This window comes from Homo sapiens, chromosome 3, assembly GCF_000001405.40.
Source record: "Homo sapiens chromosome 3, GRCh38.p14 Primary Assembly".
In the NCBI taxonomy this organism is placed as follows: domain Eukaryota; kingdom Metazoa; phylum Chordata; class Mammalia; order Primates; family Hominidae; genus Homo; species Homo sapiens.
Window position 1 is genome coordinate 179689255 of NC_000003.12, and position 13996 is coordinate 179703250.

Below are 13996 nucleotides of genomic sequence, written 5' to 3' on the forward strand. Positions count from 1 at the left end.
TTGAGAGTAAAATGTTTTGTGTGAGCATCAGATGAATGGCCTCTTTTGTATTACCACTCGATGGGCATTTTATTTCATTACTGCTGATGGCTTCCATCATAGGTAGAAAATACACGATGCTGGGTGGGGTGCGGTGGCTCACACCTGTAAGCCCAGCACTTTGGGAGGCCGAGGTGGGCAGATCACGAGGTCAGGAGTTCAAGACCAGCCTGACCAACACAGTGAAACCCCGTCTCTACTAAAAATATTAAAAATTAGCTGGGTGTGGTGGCAGCCGCTTGTAATCTCAGCTACTCGGGAGGTTGAGGCAGGAGACTCGCTTGAACCCAGGAGGCGGAGGTTGCTGTGAGCCGAGACTGCGCCACTGCACTCCAGCCTGGGCGACTGTGTGAGACTCCATCTCAAAAAAAAAAGCCAAAAAAAAAGAAAATACACGATGCTTACGATGGCAAACATAGCCACTTGTCGGTGCTCCAAAAATGTTTAGGGAGGTTAGATTGAGATTTCACATGACCAGACTATCAATGACTATTGATATTTATTAAGCCTTTCAACAGTAGTTGTTAGGCATGCCCAGGGCCAAGCACTAGAGACCCACTGGGTAAGCAGGAGAATAAGATCCTCACCTTCTGGAGCCCCATCATCTTTCCTGAGTTTTTCAATGTCAGGCCTGGGCTCCTGCCCTCTTGGGAGCAGGTGCTGATTTGAAATTTAAGTATCGACTTCACCTTGATCCCTGGTTTCCATTTCTTTTTCCAGAAGCGTTTTCTTTATAATTTAATAAAAATAAGCAGGTGGATAGCATTGCCCTTCACCTACCTGCATTAACCTGGGTCAGTTCCCTGTTTATCCTGGAATTGCTAATCTAGATGGAATATTTCTTCTTGGCCTTCTGTAAAAACTAGGAACCTCTGAGATGTGCTTTTCCCTCACAAAGATGTTTATTTTATAGGCCGCATTTTAATGATCTTTTGTTTTCTTTTCAGAAGGTAAGAGGGGCGTCTGGTGGAGCGTTACCAAAAAGGAGGAATTCCAAGATTTTTTTAGGTAAATAGTTATCAGTAGCATGCTCAGATTTTGTGTTTGTGTGTGTGTATATGTGCATACTCATGTGCATCTTTGATTTAGAGTAATAGGTTGTTTATTGCTGTACAATTTAAGGATGAGAGGCACAGATTTAAGGCCCGCCTCCACTTTGCGTTTACCTACCAGTGAAGTGTGCTTTTAGCCCTCTTAGTTGGGTTTAGTGCTTTGAAGCAATTATACTTACAGTGACTTGAGAGTAATTATAATTCTGCTTCAGTTCTGTTTATTGCTTACTTTATTTTTATTTTTTGAGACAGGGTCTGGCTCTCTCGCCTAGGCTGGAATGCAGTGGCGCCATCTTGGCTCACTACAACCTGCGCCTCCCGGGCTCAAGCCATTCTCCCACCTCAGCCTCCCAAGTAGCTGAGACCACAGGCACACACCACCACGACTGGCTAATTTTTTGTACTTTTTGTAGAGACGGAGTTTCACCATGTTGCCCAGGCTGGTCTGGAACTCCTGAGCTCAAGCGATCCAACTGCCTCGGCTGGGATTTCAGGCGTGAACCACTGCACCCGGCCAATTTTTTGCTGACTTTCAATAGCTGGCTCTTGCAGTGACTCACGCCTGTATTCCCAGCACGTTGGGAGGCTGAGGCAGGAGGATTGCTTGAACCTAGGAGTTTGAGATCAGCCTGGGTAACATAAAAAGGCCCTGTCGTTACCAAAAAATTAAAAAATTAGCCGGGTATAGTGGTGTGTGTCTGTAGTCTCAGTGACTTGGGAGGCTGAGGCAGGAGGATCACTTGAGCCCAGGAAGTTGAGGCTGTAGTGAGCTATGATTGCCACTGCACTCCAGCCTGGGTGACAGAGCGGGATCCTGTCTTTAAAAAAAAAAAAAAAAAGAAGTCAATTTTTTTCTTTTTATTTCTAAAATTAGCCAAACTACAGACTTCATTCAGATTTCATAATTTTTCTCCCGCTCATGTCCTTTCTTTGTTACAAGATATGATCCAGGGTTCCGCATTGTATTCAGTTGTCATGTTTCTTTAATCCTTTCCAGACTCTGATCATTCTTCAGTTTTTCTTTGTCTTTAATAATTGTGACACTTTTGAAGAGTGCTGGTCAGTTATTTTGTAGACTAGACCTCAGTTTGGCTTTATCTGATGTTTTCTCATGAAAAATGTGAAGTATGTACGTATGCATTTTTGGAAAGAATCCTACAGAGATAGTGTGCCCTTCTTAGTGCATGGTATCAGGGGTACATGATGTTAACATGTTGTCATACTGGTCATGCTGAACTTGATCATTGTTAAGGTAGTGTCTGCTGGGTTTCTTCACTGTAAAGTTATAGTGTAATTAAGAAATATTTTGAGAGTGATACTTTGAGACTGTGCTAAATATTTTGTTTCTCCTCAAAGTTTTGCTCACTAATTTTAGCATCAGTGGACCTTGCCTGCAATAATGATGGCTCTAGTGTTTGACTAATGGTGATTTGAAAATTTCCCTTATTGGAAGGGCCAGTTTTGTTTATGCAAGTGACTACTGATTTCTATATCATATAATTATGGTCATATTAAGCTTCTGATATGGTTTTCTCAAGCGAAAAAGTGGTTTGATAATATTTGACCAAACAAGTTTATGTGCCTAAATGCCTCAGATTATTGTTTGAAAGGATTTGCAAAATTGTTTCCATAGTATGATTTCATTTTTGTAAAAAAATCCTATACATACATATACATATGTATATACAGATATAGACATGTATATGTATGTATGCATGCATGTATGAATGTATATCTGTGTGTGTGCACACACTTCTACACACACATACACATGTGTACATATATAACTGGGAGATCAGAAGAGTCTGGAAGAATACTCCAAACTGTTAATAGTAGCTCTTTCCCGGTAATAGAATGGAAGTGATTCTGATTTTCATCTTTTTGCTTCTCTATATTTAAACTTTTTCTGTAACAAACATGTTACTGTGATGAAAAGACACATGAATTATTTGAAAAGTGAAGCCATTGAAAACTGTTGTGGAGCTGAGTTTCTTTCCTGGTTTGATTCTCAGTTACTCTGTGCTGGATCCAACCTTGCTGTCTTCTCCTGCTTCTCAGCTCATGCTTTTCTGTACGAGGCTTATCTGCAGTTGGTTCTTCTACCTTGGCCAATCTTCCTTACTTCTCAACCTGTCTTTGGACCACAACCCAGTTTAACCAACTAAACCCAAACCAAGCTAGCATGAACCCCAAAGCTGAAATTATTGAATATCTTCTGATGCTTTGGTTATTAGTCTTCCAGCACCTTTGCACTAATATAGATCATATGATTTCATTTGAATTAAGTAACGTCAGCAGGTTCTTCTTGAAGGCAGAACTAACTAAACATTTCGACTTACCATTGTTAATTTTTATTATTTTCTTTGGTTGAATGAAGAAGTTAGCTGACCTTGGCCTTTAATTTTTGTGTCTTCTTTTCATAAGACCTGGAGGTTTGATTTTTTTCTAGTGATTATTTTGGTTGTAGAGGATATTGTCAGGAAACTGTTTTAGAAATTAATTTGAAAGTTAGCACTGAGGTTTTGTGCTTCAAACTGTGTGGACCCCTTCCTTCCATTCTTCCGTAGGGGACTACCTACCATTTTGTTTCAGTGAGGCTTTTTCTACAGGTTATTCTCTGTATTCAGGCAAGATTTCATATCTTAGAAAACCACAAGGTGCATATAGAACTCACAGCCCCAAAAAAGTGTTCTATGACTATATTAATTTAAAAATGAATGCCATTAGCCCCACATTCCATTTCTCCCTATTGTTTTATATCCAGGTTCTTTACAAATTTACCTCCGTCATCCCAGTAGGAGTTCTTTCTTTTTCGGTTTTTGAGACAGGAACTCATTCTGTTGCCCAGGCTGGAGTGCAGTGCCACAATCATAGCTCCCTGCAGCCTCACCCTGCCAGGCTCAAGTGATCCTCATGCCTCAGCCTCCCAAGTAGCTGGGACTACAGGCACACACCACCACACATGGTTAATTAAAAAAAATTTTTTTTAAAGTGATGGGGTCTCACTGTGTTGCCCAGGCTGGTCTTGAACTTCTATGCTCAAGCAATCTTCTGACCTCAGTCTCCCAAAGTGCTGGGATTACATGTGTGAGCTGCTGTGCCTGGCCAGGAAGTTATTTTTTACAGGAATTCATTTTTTGCAAGTTCTGATTTAAAGCCCCCTCAACTGATGCTTCTCATCTCCTAGGAACAGGCACTTTTCTCTTGTCACATTGGTCCCAGCCCTGAGTTAATGTGACCTATAAATTAATTTCAGTGATGGGCTGTGTATTAGGGTTACATCTGGTTTATGTAACGGTAAATTTAAAACACTAGTAACTTTGTTTATTTATTTATTTATTTATTTGAGCCGGAGTCTTGCTCTGTCACCCAGGTTGGTGTGTAGTGGTGTGATGTCGGCTCACTGCAATATCCGCCCTCCGAGTTCAAGCAATTCTCCTGCCTCAGCCTCCCGAGTAGCTGGGATTACAGGTGCCCACCACCATGCCCAGCTAATTTTTGTATTTTTTTTTTTGTAGAGACGAGGTTTCACCATGTTGGTCAGGCTGGTCTCGAACTCCTGACCTCAGGTGGTCTGCCCACCTTGGCCTCCCAAAGTGCTGGGATTACAGGCGTGAACCACCACACCTGGCCTATTTATTTTTGAGACAGCATCTCACTGTGTCACTCAGGCTGGAGTGCAGTGGCATAATCATGGACACTGCAGACTCGGCCTCCTGTAGGGCTCAAGTGAACCTCCCACCTCAGCCTCCCAAGTAGCTGGGACCACAGGCATGCGCCACCATGCCTGGCTAATTTTTGTATTTTTCTGTGAAGACAGGGTTCTGCCATGTTGCCCAGGCTGGTCTCAAACTCCGGGGCTCAAGTGATCTGCCTGCCTTGGCCTCCCAGAATGCTGGGATTACAGATGTGAGCCACTGTGCCCGGCCGATTCTGGTAACTTTAAACAAGATAGATGCTTATTTTGCTGTCATGTAGAGGATGTTGGGAAACAGTAAGTGTGGTGATGTGATGGCCTCATGTTCACCAGGGATCTAGGCTCTTCCCATATTCCTGCTTCACCCTCCATCCTGGCCCATGATTTCCAACCTCATGGTCACCTTACGGTCCAAAATGGCTACTGGAACTCCAACCATCACATCCTGATTCTGGAAAGCATGAAAGAGGAAAGGGGAGGCCGGGCGCGGTGGCTCATGCCTGTAATCTCAGCACTTTGGGAGGCCAAGGTGGGTGGATCACCTGAGGTCAGGAGTTCGGCAGCCTGGCCAACGTGGTGAAACCCTGTCTCTACTAAAAATACAAAAAATTAGCTGGGCATGGTGGCACATGACTGTAATCCCAGCTATTTGTGAGGCTGAGGCAGGAGAATTGCTTGAACCTGGGAGGCGGAGGTTGCAGTGAGCTGAGATCGCACCATTGCACTCCAGCCTGGGCAAAGAGTGAAACTCCATCTCAAAAAAAAAAAAAAAAAAAAAAAAGAAACAAAGAAAAGAGGAGAAAGAGGAAGGACAAAATAGTCTAATCTCCCAGCAGAGTCACCTTGCCTTTGTCAGCCTTCTCATAGAGCCCCCAATCAGTTTACGCCTCTCTGGCAGAACTTGGTCACGTGGCCACATCTAGCTGCACAGGAGACTGGAAAATAAAGCCCACCAGCGGGCTCCGCTGAGTAAAGTTGGGGTCTCTTATTAGGAAGAAGGGGACAGTGGGTATTGGGAGGCAGCTAGTAGCCTCTGCCACAGACTCTTTCCCTCAAAGGGATGCTGGGATTGTTTCCTCATGGAGAGGAAGATAACTCAGAGCTCTCTTGCAGTTTCTCTGTTATTTTTTGGCTAGGAAGTACTATTTCACTGGTACTGAAATGAAATTATGATGCTCCTTCTTCGGCTTCATGAAGCAGATGTAGGTGGCCAATGCTTTATCTTGGGTGGAGGTGTTTTATTCCCATTCATTTGATGACTTTGTGAATAATTCCTTTTCCATCAGCTCAACAGTGACATTGAAACCATTGAATCATTTGGTTACAACCTGCAATTGACTTTACAAGGGAAGCTGAGGCCACTGGCTGGTGCCAAAAGGCTTCCTGGTGTCCTGAGCAGCACCCTGCCTCTCAGTGGTCAAATCACTTTCCCTCCATATTACTTTGATGTTCATTCAAGTGAAATGACCTCAGTACTAGCTTTTGCTGCTATTTTTTTTTTTTTAACTAGCAACGACAATTATTGGTAATTGAAAAATCATTTAAATTCTATACTTTTAAAACATTTAGGATTAAAATTTTTTTTCAATATGTACCTCATGGGTAAAGCTTAAAATTGAGAAGTTATAAAGGGCTCCTCAGTGAAAATTAAGTTTTTTTCCCCTCCCTTCCCTGTATCCTAGCCACTTGGTTACTGCCTCCAGAGACAAATTTTCTGTGTGTACATCTTTGTATATATTGTGTATTCTCTCAGCGATTGTCTATACATAAGTAATGCTTTTAGATTTCTTTTTTCTGTAGTCCCTAGGGAGCCATTAACCCTTCGGCTCCCAAACTGTGTTCTGAGGCACCCTGGAGTGCTACAGTGAGCTCACCAGGGCACTGAAGGATATTTTAAGTCTCTGAGGGAACATATTGGTGCTCAAACATTGCATGAACTAAACACAGTGTAGTTTTACTATTAGGTTACCCTGTATTCCTTCCAATAACTCCATATCTTTGTAAAGCTGGAGTTTTTTTTAGTGGTTTCTGTGGTAAAAGTCAAGCACCATGTGAAAATCAATGTGAAATAGGAAATAAGGGTGGCAGTGGCTGATCCGATTCAGGGAAGTTGTGCATTGCCCAACAGCTGAACACATCCCATTAGTGAAGGACTGGGGCTATTTCAGAGTAAAATATTTTTTCTTTCAACTTATACGTATTTTTTGCTAATGGTTAGTTGTTAGAACATAAATACTTAACCAAGTTTTTTTGATCTAACTACTAAATAAACAGAGCCATTAGGCATTTTTTTTTTTTTTTTTTTGAGATGGAGTCTTGCTCTTGTTGCCCAGGCTGGAGTGCAATGGCATGATCTTGGCTCACCGCAACCTCCGCCTCCCGGGTTCAAGCGATTCTCCTGCATTAGCCTCCTGAGTAGCTGGGATTACAGGCGCTGGCCACCACACCTGGCTAATTTTTTTGTATTTTTAGTAGAGACGGGGTTTCGCCATGTTGGCAAAACCTGACCTCGAACTCCTGACCTCGTGATCTGCCCACCTTGGCCTCCTAAAGTGCTGGGATTACAGGCGTGAGCCACTGCGCCTGGCCAGGCATTTCTTTTGGCTTAGGGTTGCTGTGAAAAAAATTGCTGGGATGCTTAGGGGTGCTGTGAACTGGGAGAGTTCAGCTAGAAAGGGACACTATTAGGTTGTGTTGTAGAAAGATAACTTGGAAAAATATGAAAGTTGGTGAGTTTGGGGTATAAGCTGATATGAAGGAGATAGTAGAGAAGCGAGGAGGTAAGGGAGTTCTGGATCCTTCAAGAAATACCCTATGGCTCATAATGTGATTCTGCCCTAATTCCATATATATATATTTTACAATAAAGCTACAGATATGCATAGATATATAAATAACTGGTAATGCATTTAATTTAAAAAATACCATATGTTTGATACATCATAAAAAACAGTGTTAAATATTTACATCTTTATGGAGTCTGTCCTAGTTTTCACAAATAGGTGTAAAGGAGTTCAGTTCTCTGTGTCTGAAAGTGGAACTTCCAAGGAGCCACCACTTCACCTCAGAAAACTTAAATTCCACTTTTTTTTGGCTTAGACCAGGTGTTTAAACTTGTTAAGGAATAGATTGAAAACAGAAAATTTGTGCAAAGTTTCGCTAATGGGCCTGTTCAGAAAGTTCATCTGCCCCTCTGATAACCAGAAGGTTCTAATAAACTACATTTTGCTATTTCTTTCTGAAGTGGGTAAAATAATATGTTCTTTTGAAGGTAAATAGTTGGTTAGATTTTGCAGCCCTTGGACAGATCGCTTACCTCCAACAATTAAAGTTAATATGGTCAGGGTGAGAGAACACTGACCTGGGAATCAGAGCCCTGGCTTTGTGTAGGGACCCATTCTTTCCTTCACTGTCCTTCATAGCTTAGGCATCTTGGGGAAATGGGTAGTCCTAGCCACTTCTCCCAGGGATCTGGGAGGATCATCAAAGCAGAGTTTATATTTATTTATTTATTTTTAAACTTAGAGAAGGCTTTCTTGGGTATTGCCACTTAATAGCCACAATAGAAGGTAGCAGCTGGGGAGAAGTTGGGGGTCCCTAGGGTATGATTACTCTGTAGCTTCTTCAACTAAATATTTTTGGGGTGATGAGACATGATTTAGAGATGTGGAAATTTTAGGTTATACTTAGGGCTGTGGGGTCATATGTGTTCAAGAGGAACCTTAGATTTGTCCCCTGAAATCAGAATGTATGTTACCTCTGATGGACTTTTCCCTAATTTGGATTAAGTTTTTTGGGAAAGATCATGCCCCTCTTCCATTCCATTGAATTAAAAGTAAAAGTAAACTTAAACTAAGTGTAAAGAAGCACAACAAAGTTCTGCTTTTCTGCATGACAGCAGTCTTGCTTCCTCTTAAACATCTGAGTCGCCAATTAAAATACAATGCAACTCTTTTGATATTCTTGTTTTGCTGTTGTTTTTAGCATGTTGATGTTGTTGACTTCCTGAAGTCCCCATTCACAGACATTTACAGGGTGTGTAGTGTGTGCCAGGCACAGTACAGGGGCTAGGAACATAGGAGGTAAGACTCATTTCCGGCTCTCTGAGCTGACAGTCTAGAAGAATTTGAAGGTGATAACTTCTGAATACTCAGATTTCACAGAAGATCCCCACATGGTACCATGGTCTTGCAGCCAAAGGGAAGGGAAGGCACTTTTGGTTGTGTTAGTTGTCAGGAATAGGGAGAAAGTGATGATGATGATGGTGATGGCAGATATTGTTTGTGGAGTCCCCTAGTACCTACCAGATCCTGTACTAGGGTGCCTTAAAACTTTATCTTGTTTAATCCACTTAACAGTCTTGTGGGGTAGATAATATCTATGGTTTACAAGAAGAATGAACTTAGAAACAAATTTTCTAGGGTTACATAGCTAGTAAATGCCAGAGTGGGGTTTTTTTTTTTCTTGTATTATATTTATGCCAGGTAAGATTTGAATTAACTTTAAATGAGCATGTTTTCTGTGGAAAGGAGACAGATAATATCTTGTATGAGCTGAATCTGCACACATAAACACAAGATTTATGCCCTGGTTACTTAAAATTGTTATATATACAATATTATAATAAAGAAAAATTTAAGAATAAAGTTCACTCACTCTATTTCCATTTGTTTAGGTTTCTTTCTCATTTTTGTCTATGAGCATAATATAAAGTCTTTACAGTGAAGATGAATTTTGTGTTTTTAGCATTAACATAGCATAAACATTTTCTGTTCCTACATAGTCTAAATAACTATGATTTAAATAATATTCTATTGGGTTGAATACTATTTTTTTTTTTTTTCTGAGATGGAGTCTTGCTCTGTTGCTCAGGCTAGAGTGCAGTGGTGCAATCTCGGCTCACTGCAACCTCCTCCTCCTGGGTTTAAGCAATTCCCTGCCTCATCCTCCTGAGTAGCTGGGATTACAGGTGCGTGCCACCACACCCGGCTAATTTTTGTATTTTGAGTAGAGACAGGGTTTCACCATCTTGGCCAGGCTGGTCTTGAACTCCTGACCTCGTGATCCACCTGCCTCGGCCTTCCAAAGTACTGGATTATAGGTGTGAGCCACCATGCCTGGCCGGGTTGAATACCTTTTTTTATTAAACATTTAGATTCCAACTTAAAAAAATATAAATATTGAAGCATTCACATTTTCATAATATATAGAATCTTTCTTTGAATTATATCCTTTAAATTAATGCCTGTACTTACTAATTAAACTTCTTTAATATTACATTTTGTCAAATGAACCTCACTTCTATTGCTACCTAGTAATGTTTGGTTTGGTTCTTTATTTTGGTATTTCTGACTCTTACAATTTAGAATCTTTTATTAAAACATTGAAACCAGGCGTGGTGATTCACGCCTTTAATCCCAGCATTTTGAGATGCTGAGGTGGGGGGATTGCTTGAGGCAAGGTATTTGAGACTGGCCTGAGCCACATAGTGAGATCCTGTTTTTACAAAAGATAAAAAAAATTAGCCAAGCCTGGCAGTCCTAGCTTCTCAGGAGGGTGAGGTGGGAGGATAGCTAGAGCTTGGGAGTTTGATGTTGTAGTAAGCTATGATCACACCAGTGGACTCAAGTCTTGGCAACAGAGTGACACCCTGCCTCAAAAAAAAAAAAAAAGCTTAGATTGCATTTTAGCTGTATCTTATTTATTTTATTTATTTATTTATTTATTTATTTATTTATTTATTTATTTTTACTACAAACTGCCCTACCTTTGGGAATTTAAGAGCAGAGCTGTACACAAACATATACTAGGTTTTTGATTGAAAACATACAAGGTAATAACAGAATCTAGATCCTTTGGTTCTCAGGTGGGTGCTCCATTAAGTAAAATAACTTTCTTCTGTCTATAGAGCCTATGTTTCTGTGTGTGTTCATGGGCCTGTTCATGTGTAGGTTTGTGTGCATGTGAGTGGAATAGCTAGCTCTTTGTCACCATAGTTCCAAGCATAAATATACAAACATGATCTGGGATGCTGGCATCCCTGTGAAAGTGATGCTGAAATGTCCATATACATATTGTGACAAGACATTTCCCTGAGCCTTCGTTTAACCTTTACCAGAGATGAACCAAGCAAAGAGGGGACGACCTGATAGGTAACAGGCTAGAGGAGCTCATCTTCCTTACTGAGAATTCTCCACAGCTGAGGACAATATGACTACTCACATTATAGGGCTTCCACCTCGGATCTACTAGGCAATAACTCAACACTTTAAGAGAGGGAGAGGGAGAGAGCAAGAGGGAGATTTTGTTTTTAAATAATAGCTAACATTTATTGACTACCTATTATATGCCAAGCCTCTTGTTCTCGTTTATCTCCTGTATAAACTATGTGAGATACATGCTATTATCTTCATGCTATAAATGAGAAAACTAAGGCTTAGAGAGTTTATGACTTGCCCAAAGTAACATTAAGTTTTGGAGCTAGTCTTGAACCTAAGTTTGTCAACTCTAAAACCATACTTCCATATTATGATGTTGCAAAAAAAAACCCCAAGAAACCAAACAACCATTCCAGCCTATTGTTGTGAAATCAGGAACCAGGTACCTGACACATCGTAATTACCAATCCTTGCCTTTTTAAGAGTTTCTAAGAAATTTTCTTTCTGAGAAATTCCTTCTGAGAATTGAGTATCTTGCACATTTGTCTATTTTAACTGTAAAGCTTTATGAAATGGCTCAGTCTTCATACATCAGTCACTGATACATAAGTATTCATAACTTGATGGAAAGGCCTGCTATTGGTGGTTGAGGACAGATGGACGGCCCTGTCAGAGGAGAAAGTTGTAAATGTCACACCCTTGGTATTTCATCATCACCTTGGATTTCTGGCTTTTCCAGTGAGTGCTGCCATAGTGTGGGATATTATTTTCCTCACTTCTTGTTCTTTGTTTTTGTTTTCTCCTCAGATCTAGATACTGATGACGATTTAAATAGCGACGATTATGAATATGAAGATGAAGCCAAACTTGTTATATTCCCAGATCACTATGAAATAGCACTACCAAATATTGAGGAGTTACCAGCCCTGGTCAGTGAGTGTGCACGGCTGCTAGCTAGATGCGCATGGCTCTGTGTCAGGTGTGTGTGCGTGTGCGATGTGTGTGTGCGGGGGTGGGGTGGGGTGGGAAAAGCCGGTTGAATGAGAGAAGAGGATGAAAATGAGCATGAACACGCACATACCTCTTCTCTTCTGTGACAGGAGTCTTGCCGGCTTACATTTCAGTAGTGCTGGGCCTTTTGCTGTCTCTTACTTCAAGTGCTGTTAGGGCTTTGTTGCTCATTAGCTGGTCTCTTCCAGGTTGGGCTGGCTTCTTGCCTCCTAAATCACAATCTGTTCCTTAGATTTTCAAACTCTGCACCCCAGATCTACAGGGACTGCTGGAGAGGGACTCTTTTCTGATCAGAAGGATAACAGTCTTTTTATCATGTTTATTATGTTGGCCTTCCATGTAACATTTTGTTTGGAAAAAAATAGAAGTGCTCCACTGCTGAAACAATAGCGACGCAGTTACAAAAAGAACAAAGCATTTACAAACTACAGATCTGCGGGAGCTCTGGGATTAAGTGAACCTTCTTTTCAGTTTTACTCCCTATGTGAACTAAGACTACTTCCTAGGTTTTAGATATTTTTAGCTGTGAGCTTCCCCCTTCCTCTTCCCTTCTCTTTTCTTCCTTTTCCTTTCTTTCGAATCCAGTTTTGTGGACGGACCGTAATTTTCTTGAATGACTTGAAGCTGGATCTGCTGGTAGTGATAGAGGGAAGCCAGGTTTTGTTTTCCTTCGATTCTCGCGTGCTGGAAGTGGGCGCAGAGTTCCTGTGGGGACCCTGTTTTTCCTGCTCTTTGCTCATTTCTTGTATTGCCTGTACCACTTTGTCCTCTTTCCTTTTTTTTGTTTTGGTCTCCCATTTCTTTTTCTTTGTTTTTTTTCTTTTTTGAGACGGAGTCTCGCTCTGTTGCCCAGGCTGGAGTGCCGTGGCGCGATCTCGGCTCACTGCAAGCTCCACCTCCCGGGTTCACGCCGTTCTCCTGCCTCAGCCTCCCGAGTAGCTGGGACTCCAGGCGCCCGCCATCACGCCTAGAGATTTTTTTGTATTTTTAGTGCAGATGGGGTTTCACCATGTTAGCCAGGATGGTCTCGATCTCCTGACCTCGTGATCCACCTGCCTCGGCCTCCCAAAGTGCTGGGATTATAGGCGTGAGCCACCGCGCCCGGCCTGGTCTCCCATTTCTTTTCCTCTTTCCATTCTGTGCACACCTTGCCTTCCCAGAGCCTGGCCACAGATGGCAGTGGGGCCAGGGTGGGTTGAGTTTAGACATGCCTGTTCATTTTTTCCCTCCTCAAACCATGCCAGAACCAAAGCCAGCTCTTTAGGTCCCAGAGTCTTCTGGACGTTGCATGACTCTCTCTGTAGCCATCTGCTCACTTGTCCCTGCCAAGAGGGGACATTTGTGCTTGGGGTTTCCATGTCACTAGGGACTCGGTTTCCACCATTCATTCCCTTTTGCCCCAATCTACTTTATATCTAAGATCACAGAAATCAGAATTTTGTGTGTATTTATTTATTGTGCCTCTTCTTTTAGTACTAAGTGCACAGTGTTCAGTAGGGCATACAGAATTAAATTACCTTTGCTTTCTCCAATTCCATGTTGACTCATGTGGCTGTTACCAAGGATAAAATATATTAGTGGACAAAATGGCCTTACCTCATCCCATTACCTGAAATTATATACCAATGCTTATATTTCTGTAATACTGAGAGTTCTTACTGCCTTGTTTAATATAACTCTTATTTCTGCTGTCAGAAGAGAAGAAACATTGTGAATAAATGTTATGATAAATTATTTTCCTTTCAGCCCCTCATGAATAAGTCTTTATGTTAAAAAAATTAATAAAAAAGCCTTTTCTTATTGTTGTACTTGGAGTATAATTTGAAATGTGAATAGTCTTATTTAAAATAAGAGAAGTGCCATAGAAATCTGAATCCAGCAAGATATATCATCATTTTTACTATAGAGTCTTTTAGTATTAAGAAATACTTTAAGAATGAAAAAAGAAGAGAGAATTATTTGGAAGATGAGGGTGGGGAGATAAAAGGAAAAGCCTGGACTTATCTGATGGTAATGGATAGGATTTATCTACATAGAAG

At 41.2% G+C, this 13996-nt stretch overlaps 1 protein-coding gene across 6 annotated transcripts in view; it reads left to right on the forward strand.

The window, feature by feature from the left end:
• The window catches only part of USP13 (ubiquitin specific peptidase 13), a 136362-nt gene that overhangs the window by 36215 nt on the left and 86151 nt on the right, over window positions 1-13996 (forward strand). For 5 of the 6 annotated variants that reach the window (NM_003940.3, XM_011513269.2, XM_017007426.2 and 2 more), the window contains 2 exons: window positions 987-1047; window positions 11754-11875. In NM_003940.3, the coding sequence (NP_003931.2) occupies window positions 987-1047; window positions 11754-11875 (183 nt within the window). Of the gene's footprint in view, window positions 1-986; window positions 1048-11753; window positions 11926-13996 lie in introns of those variants that run through there. The other variant, XM_017007427.2, reaches the window with a different exon arrangement.